The sequence below is a fragment of the Homo sapiens genome, chromosome 11 (assembly GCF_000001405.40).
Source record: "Homo sapiens chromosome 11, GRCh38.p14 Primary Assembly".
NCBI classification, from domain to species: domain Eukaryota; kingdom Metazoa; phylum Chordata; class Mammalia; order Primates; family Hominidae; genus Homo; species Homo sapiens.
Window position 1 is genome coordinate 103,928,474 of NC_000011.10, and position 18,052 is coordinate 103,946,525.

An 18,052-nucleotide genomic window follows, 5' to 3' on the forward strand; every position below is an offset into this window, starting at 1 on the left:
GAGGTCAAAAGTCAAGGACAGTGTCAGTAGAATGCATCTAAGGAAAATTGCAGGAACAAGTGTGGACCATGAGTCCACTAACCGCATCCCTGTTTGTCTTTTTATATCTACAACTGTGCTTTGATTCTCAAGGGCAGGGATTTATCCCCAATTGTCATACGCTGAGCCCAGGATACTGTGGGAACTAAATAAATGCCAAATAATCACTGTGCATAATTTATTGCTGTTTTTTTCTTCCTTTGTAAAGACATGTCATAACTTTAGCTATAATCAATCCAGATTTAAATTGAATGAACTCTGTCTTGGGAAAGGAACCATTTTATTGCTGCTAAAGCCCTGAAAATAACTGCAAGCAAAGCAGAAAGGATTACATAAATGGATTAAGAAGTGCAGCAATCATCCATTACAAGTGTCACCTTGAGATAAATACTGATGCTGGCCTGTGCATTCCTGGGCTTGTGAACAGGGCTGATGCAGAGGGCCAAATCTGCTGCTTGTGATAATGGGAAGATATTTGTCTAACACGGAGGACTAAAGAGGTACAATTAGCAGGAAGGGATCGTGATGTGTGAGAAGGCAGAGAGGGACAGGACGCAAGCGGCAACACTGAGTCTCTGCTTTCGTTCAGCCCTCTGCTGAACTATGTCATAACCTTACAGATATGACTACATTTAGTTGTTCCCCACCCATTTCAAGTGAGTATTATTTGCTAAGAGTTAACAGTAAATGGTAAAACTGGAATTGAAGCCTTTCCCCCTTTTGCTCCATAGTCTCTGTCACTTTAAGCAGAATAGAGGGATGGTCAGTAAGCCATTAGTTGAAGGAAGAAGACCAGTGTTATGAGGGCTGTACTGGACTTTCCTGTCTGATGTTGAACCAGGGTTGGGTGGTGAATGGCCACATCCTTATCTTCAGAAGACACCCAAGCCAAAGTACAGCATGCCTTCCCTATAGGAATTCCAATAAACTCCAAAGTGCCCTCCACAAACCAGGAGAAGGCATGTAAGCCTCATTCTATTTGAAACCAAACTCCTCACATTGTATAACTCTTTGACTAGCATTGGTTACTTTCATTTCTTACTCACCATGAGGAGATTCACAATTCTGTCAGTTTTATGCATCAATTCACTAATGTCACTAAGAACTGTGACCCAGTGTGACTGCTGTAGAATCCACCTGCCCTACATATCAGGCGATTGAAATCACCGAGGCACTCAATTTAGAATTAGAACTGAAAGGTTGTTCTGACTGGATGCAAATAACTTCAAAGCGTGATTGCAGACTTTCTGCAGGGGATATTGAGTTTCCAGTCAAAGAAGACTGATAAGCCAGTGCAGCAGAGCAGGGAGCCAGACAGAGGCTGAGCAGCAATTAAGGTTTCTGGTGCTTGGGTTAGAAGGAGAATTCTAGAGTGAGACTTCTGGGAGGGAGACAGGCCAAGTGGTGTCAACCGAGAGAGAGGGGCTGCCCTTTCTGTTCCTGCATCAGTCTCCATAGCTGAACATTCAGAGCATCAAGGGTGTTCCAAATTTAATTCAAGGGCCCGCTAATTTCAACTAACGTCCCTTATTTCATCCCAGTCTACATCATGGAATAATCCCTCTTTTTCTGTCATTCTGAATTTTAGTTTTGCTTTATCAAAGCTCTTTGACATCAATTAAGTTTTTTGGGCCTCATACAGGCAGTTTTCTGGAAAGGCTGGGAAGGCTCCCCTGTCCTCAAAAACTTCCTTTGGACATACTGGTAAAGTGTGGGGTGCTGCACAGTGCACAGGGGCGCACTTTTCCTTCTGCAGCCCTGCCTCTAGGTGCAGCCTAATCACAGAGGTGCTTTGAGATGTAATAAGAATGCTGGGATCTGAGCTCTAGAATGGGGATGTGAATGCACACCCTTTTATAGTTTCTAATATTAGGTGTGGGAGGAAGGAGAGTCAACCTGTTCTTTTTGATCCTGGCCATCTAGACTACTAAGTGCTGTGTTCATCATGAGTGCATGAAATACTCATAAATGCTATGAATTACATACAATCATTACTCTTACTTTTGCAGTTGAGGAAACTGAGCCTTTCAAAAGTTAAGAAAAAAAAAAAAAAAACTTGTCCACAGCCATACAACCAGTCAGTGGTAGAGCCAGAGTTTGAATCCAGGCCTCTTCATGCCTTTTGTACATTATGAGCCCAGTGTAAAGATTTGAAGGAGGGTTCAGAGAGCAGCTTCCACAAGCGATGCTGAAGTCTTCCCACCAGAGGACCACTTGCTGTGCAAATGACCTGGCTTCCTAGGTGCACCCATAGGCACTAACCTGTCATTTTCACAATGTCATTAATACACATACCCAAGCACGAGCAGCTGTGTATCCTCATCCACCTATTCAGTTCTGACTAATAAACCAGGCAGCTATTCAGAGTCTACTTTTGTCTTTGGTATTGTGATAAAACATTTCGTCCTTTTATCTGAACCGAGTGGACTTTGGCCAATGCACACTCTTCCTTTTGTCCTCATTTCTCCTTGAACCCTTTCTTGCCTCATCTAGGAGCTGAATGGATTGATAGCAATGATTTGTCCTCAGTGGGAACAAATGCCAGGATCCTAAAGATTCTAGTTTCTGTAGGACAGATAAAACCAATATAATATTTCACATACTTGGCAAGCACAACATGGGTGGTGATCAGCTTAAGATAAAAATTTAAAAATCTATTCCTTATTAAAGTGAAACATATTTATTATTTTATACAAGTTACCTGTTCTGGTGGACAGAAGTCCAAAATGTGCCTTACTGGGTCAAAATCAAGGTATGTAAAGGTAAGTCTGTTTTTGTGAATACAAAAATTCATTATGAAACAAAATAATCTCCTCACTTTGAACATGGGAAAGCACCTTTGTTCTCCACATGCACAATAATTTACTGCTTGTTTTGGTCAACAAGAGGATGGTTTCCTTGAGTCAGTCTCTAAACATTAAGTTATCAGTTGGCTTTCACTGTGCTGGCCATTCATCAATCTTTATTCTGATAGTAGAATCACATGCTTTTTTCTCTTGATCATCCACAGACTGTCAGAGAATCCAATTAAACTGCTGCATGTCCTTGAAGACAGTCAGTAATCTTTTTCTTTTCTTTTCTTTTCTTTTTTTGAGACAGAGTCTTGCTCTGCTGCCCAGGCTGGAGTGCAGTGGCATGATTTCAGCTCACCATAACTTCCGCCTCCCAGGTTTAAGCAATTCTCCCGCCTCAGCCTTCTGAGTAGCTGGGACTACAGGTGTGTGCCACATGCCCAGCTAATTTTTGTATTTTCATTAGAGATAGAGTTTCACCATGTTGGCACCAGTAATCATTTTATTGTTGTTACAAGGTCTAGCCTTTATAATGCTAAAGTTCTTTATAAACTCTTAGCAGGCATGCAGCAGCAGCCTACATACTAGTGCATATTTACCACATGGTGATGGCATGTGGAGAATGAGCACTCAAAGTAGGGCCATGATGTTTTTGAAAACCATGCTCTTGTTCTTCTGTTTTGCTTTCTCTGGCATCTCAGCTTGCTATATTATTTTAATCTTCTAGAGCTCAAGTCAAAAGGCATATTCACTCTACATCTCCTATGACTCCTTCTCTATGTACTCACCACACTTTTTCTGCCCTCTATTATAGCATTTACTTCATAGACCTTGTTTTGTTTTCTTTGCAGATAGTCCAACTTACAATGGTTCAACATGAGTTTTTTTTTTTTTACTTTTTGATGGTGCTTTCAGCTGTGTATGTTAATGGTGAGCACCCATAAAACCATTCTGTTTTTCACTTTCAGTAAAGTATTCAATAAATTATATGAGCTATTAAACCTCTATTATAAAATAGGCTTTGTGGTAGATAATACTGACCAACTATAGGCTGATATATGCGTTCTGAACATGTTTAAGGTAGGCTAGGCTTAGCTACGAAGTTCAGTAGGCTATGTGTATTGAATGTGGTTTGACTTAACTATATTTTCCAATTACAATGTGTTTATTGGGATGTAAACCCATCAAAAGTTAAGAAGCATCCATATTCAGGTGCTTCTCTTCTATTGAACTAAAAAAGTTGTTGGAGGTAGAGAGCTAATCATCTTTTTATCCCTTCTCTTCTAGTACTTTGTCCCTAATGTAAGGACCAAATGCAGCTCATTCAAGCTCACTTCTAAAACCATTTGACTTCAACGATTAGGAGCAAGGTGCTGCTGAAGGAAGCACAACATCGTCTTTGTGCCAGATTCCCTTTGCAAGAAATAGACACTCAATAATTACTACCTGAATGAATCAGATAAACCATGGATTTTTTCAGTTTAATTTTTTATCACAAAGGTGAAACAATTCCAACTATCTTTCAGGAATGCATAGAGTATTATTAATACTTTATATGTTGAATGTTTGGATCTTATCTCAAGACTAGTCTAGGATGTGGTGTAGTGCGAAAGTGTTAGGTTAGAATTAAGAAACTAGGATTTAGAACCATCTCTGCCAAGGATGAACCAAGATGCATGAGATGACTGGCACCAAGATCTGTGAAATATAGGAGTGGCACACATGGTAGAGCATGGTCTTGAGAAGACTGGTTCTCAGATGCAAACATCAAGGTGCTAAGGAACATTGCCTTTGTCAAATGGGAGACAGTGCCATAATCTGTTATGAAAAGTGCTAAACATTTCCCTTTAATGTTGCAGCACCAGGTTTATGATGCTTTGGGGTGGGGTGGGAGGTGAGGGGACTATAGGAATAATTGTATTATTTTTGTTAAACAACCAGGGGCTCTCAGCCTTTCTCAAGGTTCATAAGTTCACCAGGAGTCTTCATCCTTATGAATATTACAACCTCACTGTGATTTTCAGAATCCCTCTTCTATAAATCAGCACATAATTATGAAAACTGTTTTCACATTTCAATCCCAATGCAGAAGTGCAAATAAATCTGGAAAGGACAATTATTTTATAAGTTTTAATGAGGGACTATCAGGATACTTTAACTTAAAATTATGAAAGACACTGAATTTTGTGACTCCACATGTGGGTTTAACATCTAAAGAATAAAAACATTTACCACTTGTTTTTACACAAATTAACCTAAATCACAGCAAAAGATTCTTAATCAGACAATTCCTGATTTTCAAGGTTTAGAAGCATTGTGAAGCAACGAGTGAATGCAAACTTACTGAGCAACTACTATGTATCCAGCACTTTGTGAGATGCTTTCACAAAATCAAATTTCATTTAATTCTCACAGCAAACCCTCATCTTAGATATTACAATTCCCATTGGATGGATGTAGAAACTGAGTTGCAGAGGACTTAAGTGACTTGCCTAAAGCCACTGGACGTAAGTAGATATTCAGCACATATGTACTGGAAAATCAATGGATGACTGAATGAATATCTGGAAGGCACTGAATTAGCCATGAAAGCAGTAACACCATCATAAAGCCATTCTCTGAACCCTGGGAATTCATGACCTGGGGTGATGTATAAAGCATATCTATGAAATGAAAAATTTTTTAAAAAACAAGTTAGGAGATGAAGGTCTTAAAATTTCTTGTTCTCATTTACTAGACTATGAATCCCTGAGCTTTAAACACCATTGAGTTGCTCACAGCATGAGCTTTGCAGCCAACAAGGCCAAGTTCATGTCATGATTCTCTATTTTCTAGCTCTCACAGAAACTTTCTGAATTTTTTTCTTTTACTATGCAAAATGGGAATCACAGTAGCTCCTGCCAAGGAACTTGTTAAGATTAAATGAGTTTTGAGTGTTTGAAGCACAGGTCTAAATCCTACCTCTCAGTAGGTATGCCCACATTATTACTGAAGTGAGTAACACAGATCAAAGAAGGAAGTTTAAATCAGAAGCACCTAAAACTAGAAGGAGCTGAGATTCTGTAATTGGTGATTACTAAGGAATAGAAGGCCATGCCCACCTTGAACTAAATACAAAAAGCCAATGATCAGGTGTCTTCAGTTTGATTACATCAGACGTAACACTATCCTTTGCAAGTGTATTAGTCCATTCTCATACTGAGATAAAGAAACACCCAAGACTGGGTAGTTTATAAAGAAAAGAGGTTTAATGGCCTCACAGTTATGCATTGCCTGGGAGGCCTAAGGAAACTTACAATCATGGCAGAAGGCGAAGGAGAAGCAAAGGCACGTCTTACATGGTGGCAGGAGGGAGAGCATGTGTGCAAGTGTAGGGGAACTGCCCTTTATAAAATCATCAGATCTTGTGCCACTCACTCACTATCACAAGAATAGCATGGGGAAAACCATCCCCATGATTCAATTATCTCCATCTTGTTTCTCCCTTGACATGTGGGGATTATGGGGATTATGGGGATTGCAATTCAAGATGAGATTTGGGTGGGGACACAATGCATAACTATATTAGCAAGTAAAGACACTCAGTGAGTTGGATCTCTCAGCACCAGCAGGGCCTACAAGCATATATGCTCTAGGAGCAGTGTAGTGTCTCCTTAAGTCTAGTGGGGCATAAAGGAAAACAATCCCATAATAATTTTCCAATGCTTCACAGAAAAAAATTAGCACAGCAAACACAAGGAACACACATTTCTCTTTAACAAGAGTAATTGCAGTGGAAAATGCACATTTGTTCATCCGACGCTAAAAGTTACCTATGGCTTTCCACTGTCAACTGGATTTTTCCTATTGATTTGCATTTGAATGACATGCCTAGATGAGGGGAATAACTTTGATAATGAGGGTGGGGTTAGGATATCCACAAAGACGGACAACTGCGTCTAGGATGAAAGCAGAGGTGGCACAGGCACCAGGAGGAAAAACAACTGAAAGTTGTCCCACTGCTGAGATTTTCTTAAAATATTTCATGTGTGTGCCCTCATAGACACACACAATATGATAAACAACAATATGGTTTTTATGAATGCTTGCTGGCAAACAGAGTAAGTGAGGCAGCTAGATACTTACAAATCATATGAGTCATAAACAGTGGCAAAAGTCTCTAAAAGAAAAGCTTAGCAGAAAAAACATCCAATAAGCAAAATAGTGTCAGAAAATTTCTGGATAAATAGTATCAGAAAAGTTTAGTACTTGGAGATAATTTTGAAAACTTTTAATGAGTACACTGATTATACAGATAATTAAATAAGACAATATTTGCCAAATACTATCTGTGAGGCTCTCCAGATTACTGATGGTTATCTTAGAGCCTTATAGGGAAGACAGCAGAGCAATTAATAGAAATATCTTGGTTCTGTGCAGAGTTTTGCAAGCAATTCAAATAATAACAGTAGCTATCATTTATTGAGGGTGTTAGATACTCTTTCATTACCTAATCCTAACACAAATTTGCAAAGTGCTTATAATTAGAGCCATTTTACAAAGAGAAGAAAATAGAGAATCAGGGGTCTGTAAGTGACTTCTCCAAGGCCACTGCTACTGATTTTAGGATTTGAGTTAGAATTTTATTACAAGTTAGTTTGACTCTCAAGTCCATGCTCTTTCCATTGCAACGTCCTTCTTTCTTTTGCTCTATTTCTATTAAATTTATGCCAAACAATTTTAATATTGATAAATAAAACTTTCACTTGGTAAAGGTACCAAATATACCACATGGTTCAGGAAACTCAATGAAGCTAACCATCTTTCAATAATAGAAACTATTATTAACAATAATGTAATATTAATAAGCAACACAAGTTATTATTAATGTCTATTATCTACTGATGTCACCAGTACCTCCTTAATTTACAGAGATGTAGTTACAGATATCTGAAGACTGACTGATCTGACTCATCACTGGTGTCGGCCAACAGCTTTTGGCAAATTCTTAACCCAAGTATCAAATAGGCAGACAGAGAAAATTGCAAGCACTCAGTTTCTAAAATATGTTCATATGTTAATGCTCTCTGAATAATTTCCTACATTTGAAATCATTTTTGAAAAATCAAAACTTGTGTCCTCCTGTTTAGCATGCAGTGGCATGACAAAGAAACAGCAATAAATGATAAAATTTTTTTAAAGAACCTATTCTGACTTAAGAGAACTCAGAACGAATGAAAACATACTGATATAAAACATTTATTTCATTTATTTCTCAGTTTCTTATGCTAGTTATTTACCTGTAAATAATTTGCAAATTAGAGTCAAATGTTTTAGATTTTAGAGGAAAATGTCATGGAGAAAATAATAGAATTGGTATTAGATCCTTGGAAATGGGTTGGTAACTGTTCCACAGTTGTAACATCTAACCATTTAGAGTCTGTAAAAATCACATATTTCAAACGTCATCATTTGGAACTAATTTAGTATCAAGATGTTTACTGCACTCAATATTAAAATACTGTTTTTTTGTTTGTTTGTTTTTTGTTTTTTTTTTTTAAAGCAGGGTCTTCACTCTGTTGACCAGGCTGGAGTGCAGTGGTGCAGTCACAGCCCATGGTAGCCTTGAACTACCCGGGCTCAAGTGATCCTCCCACCTCAGCCTCCTGAGTAGCTGGAACTACAGGTATATGCTTCACGCGTGGCTAACTTTTGTATTTTTTGTAGAGACAGGTTCTCACCATGTTGCCCAGGCTGGTCTCTCACTCCTGGGCTCAAGCGATCTGCCTACCTCGGCCTCCCAAAGTGTTGGGATCACAGCAGTGAGCCACTGTGTCGAGTCTAAAACACTTTTTAAAAGAGGAGTGGATTTGAATTTTAGCATGTGTATCTAAAAATGATTACTTTTTGGAGAACAATATATTTTAATTATTAATTTAAAACTATTAATTTGGAACACCCCAATAATTTTGTTCATATTTTAATCAAAACACAAGCTTTGAAAACAGGTTTCCCTCCTTGCCATTATGTCCTGGATTTTTCTTTGGTGAACACACTATCATTCTAGAAAGTCAAGTTCTCCTGGAATAAGAAAAAGAACAGATCTTACTTATATTGTTTATCTCCATAAATCACCTCTCCGTTAATGTCCAGTCAGGGCTGATCATTTCTTAATTTAGAAATGTTGAATTTTATGCTATGAACTTGAATAAATATACATTGTCCTTAAATTCATAGGTATATGTTTTTTCTGTTTTGTTTTGTTTTTTTAATTTTATGATTATTATACTTTAAGTTTTAGAGTACATATGCACAATGTGCAGGTTTGTTACATATGTATACATGTGCCATGTTGGTGTGCTGCACCCATTAACTCGTCATTTAACATTAGGTATATCTCCTAATGCTATCCCTCCCCCCTCCCCCCACCCCACAACAGTCCTCAGTGTGTGATGTTCCCCTTCCTGTGTCCATGTGTTCTCATTGTTCAATTCCCACCTATGAGTGAGAACATGCGGTGTTTGGTTTTTTGTCCTTGTGATAGTTTGCTGAGAATGATGGTTTCCAGCTTCATCCATGTCCCTACAAAGGACACGAACTCATCATTTTTTATGGCTGCATAGTATTCCATGGTGTATATGTGCCACATTTTCTTAATCCAGTCTATCGTTGTTGGACATTTAGGTTGGTTCCAAGTCTTTGCTATTGTGAATAGTGCTGCTATAAACATACATGTGCTTGTGTCTTTATAGCAGCATGATTTATAATCCTTTGGGTATATACCCAGTAATGGGATGGCTGGGTCAAATGGTATTTCTAGTTCTAGATCCCTGAGGAATCACCACACTGACTTCCACAATGGTTGAACTAGTTCACAGTCCCACCAACAGTGTAAAAGTGTTCCTATTTCTCCACATTCTCTCCAGCACCTGTTGTTTCCTGACTTTTTAATGATTGCCATTCTAACTGGTGTGAGATGGTATCTCATTGTGGTTTTGATTTGCATTTCTCTGATGGCCAGTGATGATGAGTATTTTTTCATGTGTTTTTTGGCTGCATAAATGCCTTCTTTTGAGAAGTGTCTGTTCATATCCTTCACCCACTTTTTGATGGGGTTCTTTGTTTTTTTCTTGTAAATTTGTTTGAGTTCATTGTAGATTCTGGATATTAGCCCTTTGTCAAATGAGTAGGTTGCAAAAATTTTCTCCCATTCTGTAAGTTGCCTGTTCACTCTGATGGTAGTTTCTTTTGCTGTGCAGAAGCTCTTTAGTTTAATTAGATCCCATTTGTCAATTTTGGCTTTTGTTGCCATTGCTTTTGGTGTTTTAGACATGAAGTCCTTGCCCATGCCTATGTCCTGAATGGTATTGCCTGGGTTTTCTTCTAGGGATTTTATGGTTTTAGGTCTAACATTTAAGTCTTTAATCCATCTTGAATTAATTTTTGTATAAGGTGTAAGGAAGGGATCCAGTTTCAGCTTTCTACATAGGGCTAGCCAGTTTTCTCAGCACCATTTATTAAATAGGGAATCCTTTCCCCATTGCTTGTTTTTCTCAGGTTTGTCAAAGATCAGATAGTTGTAGATATGCGGCATTATTTCTGAGGGCTCTGTTCTGTTCCATTGGTTGATATCTCTGTTTTGGTACCAGTACCATGTTGTTTTGGTTACTGTAGCCTTGTAGTGTAGTTTGAAGTCAGGTAGCATGATGCCTCCAGCTTTGTTCTTTTGGCTTAGGATTGACTTGGCGATGTGGGCTCTTTTTTGGTTCCACATGAACTTTAAAGTAGTTTTTTCCAATTCTGTGAAGAAAGTAATTGGTAGCTTGATGGGGATGGCATTGAATCTATAAATTACCTTGGGCAGTATGGCCATTTTCACGATATTGATTATTCCTACCCATGAGCATGGAATGTTCTTCCATTTCTTTGTATCCTCTTTTATTTCATTGAGCAGTGGTTTGTAGTTCTCCTTGAAGAGGTCCTTCATGTCCCTTGTAAGTTGGATTCCTAGGTATTTTATTCTCTTTGAAGCAATTGTGAATGGGAGTTCACTCGTGATTTGGCTCTCTGTTTGTCTGTTATTGGTGTATAGGAATGCTTGTGATTTTTGTACATTGATTTTGTATCCTGAGACTTTGCTGAAATTGCTTATCAGCTTGAGGAGATTTTGGGCTGAGATGATGGGGTTTTCTAGATATACAATCATGTCATCTGCAAACAGGGACAATTTGACTTCCTCTTTTCCTAATTGAATACCCTTTATTTCCTTCTCCTGCCTGATTGCCCTGGAGGCATATGTTTTCAATGAATTGTAGTTTAGTTTTAGTTAAACTGCAGTGGTAATGCAGCAATTTAAGGAGTATTTATGTAGCTTACAGAAAGAACACCCATATAATTTCACTTAATTTTATGCACACTTCCGATACTCATTATTAGTATATCTACCATAAAAAGTAAATGCAATTTGAACTTAAAATACTGATTTTTAAAAAATTAACTTCTGGGCAGCTTTGAGGTTAAAAGCATGAGGCTGAAACTACTGGCAAAAATTAGGTTTGAAACTACAGTTATCTACAGATTTCAATTATATACGCTACCCTTTTCTCCATTACCCCCTAGGAAACTGAAAGTTGAATATATTAACTTGTTATATTATCTTCACTCCAGAAGCTTTTACAGACAAGTTTGAGCTTATCTATTACTTGTGAATTTTAAAAATGTAGACATTATTGCGTTGACATCCTGGTTTCAATACTTGGTAATTTTATCTGTTTCCTCTCTCTCTCTTTCCTCACCAAAACTTTACTGTTCTTTTGCATTCGCCATTTTCAACTCTTCTTGAAGAGAACAAAAAGCTCACTTACCACCTCACCTCCCTTCTACTAAATAAAAAGAAGCAAAACACATCATTTAATTGTAAAATATGAACCTTCATATTTTAAATATTCCTGATTCATTATAAGTTCTTTACTCAGTGTGTCTGCATTCTATTTCAGAGTTCATAAAACTCTGTGTTTTGTATATTCACATTCAAATGTCATCTTAGAATCCTGCTCTTTGCAATCATGAAAAATACCACTTTCCATCTGTCTGGACAAATCAGAAGAATGGATGCTCAAAAGATATTCATAAATGATGAGCTTGCTTCTGCACAACATCATTAAGAAATTATTATACTGATAGAAGGAGACTTTTTGGAGATCCTGAAAAGGCAAAGTTTTATTTGACACCTAATGGACTTCCATTATCCATCGCTATTTTCCTGTTTTCACTGTTTATTCACTGCTCCCCTCCTCATACATTGGCATACAAGCCATGAATTTGTATTTTTAAGTTCTCAAAGCAGAAAATACCAGCTGAAATATTAAACCTGACTTCCCTTGTTTTTGTGATACATGCAGGTGATTCAGCATCAATGGAATGATAAATAATTAAATCAGCACATTTATACAAGAGCAGAGACAGTGGTGACTTGCCAGGGTTAAATTAAATGGTACAAAAATGCCTTAGGGCCATTTTAAACAAGAGATTAAGAAATGCAACCTAAGCCAGCAGGGGAGAGAGACGATGTTTACTTTGTCACAAACATCAAGTAGTATGTCACCTTGAATGCTCTTGCAAGGTTATTTCGGTAACCAAAGACATTTTTAATAAAGCTACCCTCTCCAGTCTATGGGGTGGTTTCTATAAACTTTAGAAATAGGCTAACACTGGATTAGTAATATATTCCATCCCACAAACATTAATTGAGCATCTAAAATATGTCAGAGACTGTTCCAAGTACTGCAGATACAGGATGAACAATCTCTAAAGTAGTGTTTCTTGACACTGGCTGTCTCTAAGGATCACTCTCCTAGGAACCATAAATAATATCAATATATATCCCAGTCTCACCCCATTGAGATTCTGAGTCAATGTATCTGGGGTGGGACTAGGCATCTGAAGTTTTTCAAAGCTCCCTCAGGTATTAAATATTCAGCCAGAGTGGAGAACCATAGGAGGTGCTGGGATCCCAGATCCTCTTAGAGGAAACACAACAGTACAATAACAGTGCAGCAGTAGGACATACAAAATGAGGTGGTGTCTTAAGTGCTCCTAACTTTACCAGGTTAGGGGGTGGGTAGACATCACAGGGACTACATCACAGAATAAGGGACAAGGTAGGCTTCACCAAGGAAGTAATGCAAACATATTTCAGAATTCTAAGTCATTATAGCTAGCTAACAATTTTTGAACACGTATCAAGTGTCAGGTGCTCTTGATGGCACCAGAAGCAGTCCCCAGAAGTAGGTGTTATTGCACACACATTGCCAATAAGAAAACTGAGATCAGGGTGCCTGCTAAAAAAAAAATCACAAAACTTGTAAGTGGCAGGGTTAGAATTTGAATCCAGGCCTCCTGCCTCCAACTCAACACAATTTCTAGGGGGAAAAAAAGTAATGGATTTAGGTGATTTCAAAATTTTAATATTTCCAGAAAAAAAGATGCCAAGAAGGGCTGTCCCTTGAATTGCTGAAGACAGAGTCAGCTTTTATTGCTCGTTTGTCCAATACTATTTTTATATAAAATTTCCTCTGGGGTTTTCAAAATATGTGCATATTTTACTTTCTTTTAAGTTGACCTAGTAGAGATCCAAACACAGCAATGTCTTACAGAAAAGCAATTTTTTCTTTAAATTGAATCCAATCTGTGCCCTGGAGAGATTCAGGGCTATAGTGATCTGCACATGGCATATCTCCATAACACCAGGGCCACCAGTGACTTTCTTGTCCCCCTCTTAGCTAAGCCATAAGCAGAAGGCCCAGGCAGGAGTTAACTAATTAGTCATTTTGTCCCAAATGTTATAAATGGTTGTGCTAAAGCAGCCCAGGTTCACAGTTCTTAAAAGTATTCTTAATATTTCAAAGTGCAGGAAACAAGCTGTATCTTGGTGAAATACCTTTATATCTACAATGCAAACCAGCCTTTCGAGACCTTTTAGGGAACATTTCAATTATAACAAACCTTATCAAATAAGGAAAGGACATAACAGACTAGAAGTAACTGTTTTATTCAATAAGAGGCAACTATATTTCATATCTTTATTAATTGGAGTTTTACATGCCAATAAACATTCTCATCCTAAGATCATATCACTCAGATGTAAGACCTGGATATTTATTTTTTTAGTTTAAGCATTGTTTTAACTCATGATGTTCTCTCTGCCTTAATGTTCCTCTCGGTTCTCCCCTTATTGTACTTTCCTGAAGTTTCTAATTGAATATGTGCTCTCACACATCTCCAAACTATTCCAGACCTTCTTTTCCTCTGCCTTGAGACATTTATATCTCGAGCACATAAACCACCCAGGCACCAAGCAGATATCAGATCTAGAAGGTAGAATTGAAATTTTCCAACAAAGTTTTGGCTGTTGCTTTAACAGGGTTCTCTCCTGCCAACACTGACATCCCTGGACTAAACCAATCTTCACACCTATCAGAGAGGCAAAACTATCAATTACACAAGCACTGTTCTTGTAGGCAAGAGACCAGGATCCTCATTCTTCTTCATTGCTAACTAACCACACAGACATTGGCAAATTACTTACTTCCTCTGACTTGTCTGTCTCCACTGTAAAATTGGGGCTAATAATGCCTTGCTTGCCAAAAAATAAGAAGCTGGTTCAGATAATTTTTATAAGATCTCATCCAGCTCCAAACTATGACCTATATATCTTTCACGGGACCAAACCCTTCTTAGTCTGATGCAAAAAAAACACAGTTTGGGCAAAATGCAGAACTTCATTTGAAAGTGCTGTGAAACATGACAATGGACTGATAGTAACCACCTGATCTAAGTGAGTTAAATATATTGTACTGCTAATCCTTACTCATTATTACAGGTTATGTCCCTAGTCCAAAAATCTAAACTCTGAAATGATCCAAAATCCAAAACTTTTTGAGCACCAACATGATTCTCAAAGGGAATGCTCACTGGAACATTTTGGAGTTCAGATTTTTGGATTAGGGATACTGAGCCAGCAAGTATAAATGTAAATGTTCCAAAATCCAAAAAGCATCCAAAATCCAAAAGACTTCTGGTTTCAAATACTTTGGATAAGGGATACTCAGCTTGTACTGTTAAGATTTCTATGTGCTTATGAAGAATGTACAAGTGTCTGTCTCTTACCTTTTGACTTCCGGTCATGGTATGACCTGCCTCGATACCGAGGGGTGTCCAGATACATATTCTCAAGATCTTCTTGCCATGACTCTGGATTGAAGTACTTGAGCAGATCTTCCACTGTATCAAATTCTGCAATTTTTTTGTCCAGAGCATCCGCAATCAGAGTGGGATCCGTTACTGATGGAGAGTTATAGGATACCCCCTAAGAGTGACATACAGCTCAGTGTACTCAGAATAAGTCCATTGCTGTGAAATACAACAGTCATTCAACTATACGGAAGGAACATAAACAGGCTTCTGAGTATAAGACATCATACGTTTGAATGCTATGTAAAAACAACATGGTATTGTCTTGCCATATTCTTGGATAAAAATCAATTAATTACTAAAAAGATAACATTCGCTTTTTTGTAAATCAAATCCAAGTAGATCAGAAAACTTCCAGTTTATCTTAAGTGTAATCATCTAAAAATATAGAACGAGATAGAAATATATAAAATTAAGTTATCCAGTTTCTTGGTTCATGGTCCCAAATCATCCACATAACAACAAATAATAGTGGGAATCAAAATTTCAAACTCCTTCCACATTAGTTTTGATAATTAATTCCACTCTCCCACTGTTAAGTTCCACATTCCCCCTTTACAGGTCACCTGGCATTGCAGATGATGTGTGAGCAATGTACGAATCTACTCTGGAGACATTTTCATAAAATTTAGCACTTTCACCAACTTATTTACTGTCAACAAAGATAATTAGCCATGAAATTGGCTCTCTTGACTTAAAAGGAGAGGATTCACATGGGGAACATATTTTTTTAAAGTGCTATAGTTTGCTAGTGATCCCAGTTGCCATTAAAACTTCTCAGGAAGACTCTTTAAATGAGAAACACAACATCATTGAAAGCCTGGAAAGGATTATGTATTTTGCCATGGAATACATGGCACATGAGGTTTCCAAGCACTTACTTCACTAACCCTTGTACAATCTAGAGGTAAATGAGCCATGATTCAAACATCTCTGTTAAAATTCATGACCCATTAACAAGGAAATAGAGAGCATACAGCCTCAAATGATTTTTAAATGTCTTTAAAGAAACTACCAAACAAATAAGATTCCCCAAAGGCAAATATCTCCTATCACTAAGGGAAAATAGGAATTAATGAAAACTTGCTTTCCTAAGATTTGACTGTAGTATCTAATCAAGAAAAATTATGTGCTATTGAGTCCCAGACAGCCAAGCCCACAATTTATAACCTTACTCTCAGGCAATGTTGTCTCTCTTTAACCAATCAAGGTCCAAAGGTTGCTAAGTGATTTGATGATCATCTGCTCTCAGAGTAACAGTCCCTCTTCACACAAGTAAGAGGCTTTAAAGCATTAATCTACCATTGGTATAACTCAGGAGCAGTTTTCAAATATTCCCTGTAGGGAAAAGGGAGTCAAGGGAGTTGGGTGAGAGGGTGAAATAGACCGATGAATGTGTCAGGCCAGCTCCATTTTTTTTTTCTTTTACAAGAAACCATACATCTAATTTTCAGTCATCCTTGTTAAAATAAGTTCTGAACAAACCTTTCCTGCCATGCTACATTCATTACCTTATGAGTCCACTCTGTATTCTGTTCAGGTGTATCCAGGTAATAATGATCATTTATCTGGAGGCACGGTCTTTGTCATACATTACGGAAGAATCCAGAGATTTAATCACAGTTCAAGCCATGTTAAAGATGTCCTCTACAGTCATATTGTTGATATTATATAGCTCTCATCTGGGTGCAGCCATATTTGTTCCTTCTGTTTCTGATAGGTTGTCCCTTTAATCTACGTGACTGTGTGTGGGTGTCTGTGTCTGTGTGTGTCTGCTTGATACGAGCTGAACCCTGACTGACACACATCATTTCTGTCTTTCACATCTCTCTTGAGGTCACATGCTAGAGGTGGAAGACTTATAATTCAGGACTATAATTCCAAATCGCCATTAACTTGTATTGTCGGATAATCTACAGTCTATCTGGCTAACATGCACCAGATGGTTTACAAGCAGCCTTGTGTCACAATAGTGTGGTTCTAAGAACCACAAAACTCAAAATGAGCTGACGAAATTAGAAGCATGGCAGCACATAAAAAATCTTTGAAATTAAAATGCTTCCCTCATTTTTGAAATAAAAACAGGGACACCGATCAAGTCATTCCCACGCCAGTGAAAGCTTCTTGTGACAGCTCTGGGGAAAGTGGCTGCATGGAGTTCTCCAGGGTGGCTCCCAGCAGTGCCTAGAATGTAGTGTGTACACAGACATCTCTCTCAGAGAAAGCTGTGGGGAACTCTCAGTCCCTTAGAAGGGAGGGGGAAATTTAATCTCTTCTAACATGAGGCTGAAGAGTCAATCCAAACCATAGGTAAAATGCAAACATGTCCCTATGTATGAGCTTTACTGCTGTTTTCAAGTTTTGATTTAGGGCAGTTGACAGAAACAACAACGACAGCTGAGGAAATATTTATGAATGATGAGGTGACCTAATAAGACTACAAGAACATTTTGGTTTCTGAGGTAAATATTTTAAAACTATTTTTGAGAAAAAGAACTAATTTAATGTGTCTCCTTCAGCTGAACAGTAAATATGATTTCATTCAGCTTTTGTCACGTATTTATAAAAATCAATTCTGAAGTTAACTGCATTAATTTAAAATGATAACAATTTGTAAAAAAGAAATGCTCTGGAAATGCAAAACCACTTTCAACAAAAACAAAGTATGGTTTAAACAGAAGTCAATGGTAGGTCCAATGACCCCTGCTCCTGCTCCAGAAAGTTCTTGAACAATGGAGTGCTGAGTAAAGAAACTAGCTTGGTCTTACAAGAGAGTTAAGCAGCACCTAGACTTGAAACTCAAACGAGAAGCTTTTGCAGTGGATTTGGACCCAGGGAACTTCCCCAGATACTCCAAAAGGATGAGACAATGCCTCTCTTTTAAAGGACCTGGGTTATTCTTAATTTGTTGAAGGTCCTTTAAGGCTTGTAATTCTGTGGTTGGAGCAAGAATCATTAGACAACCCTGAGCTATCATGTCGAAGGTGCCT

The 18,052-nt window shown here is 37.9% G+C and overlaps 1 protein-coding gene across 2 annotated transcripts in view; it reads right to left on the minus strand.

Annotated features, from left to right (window-relative positions):
• PDGFD (platelet derived growth factor D) overlaps positions 1–18,052 on the minus strand; it is a 256,959-nt gene that overhangs the window by 21,285 nt on the left and 217,622 nt on the right. For both annotated transcript variants that reach the window (NM_033135.4, NM_025208.5), the window contains exon 5: positions 14,979–15,177. In NM_033135.4, the coding sequence (NP_149126.1) occupies positions 14,979–15,177 (199 nt within the window). The remainder of the gene's footprint in view (positions 1–14,978; positions 15,178–18,052) is intronic.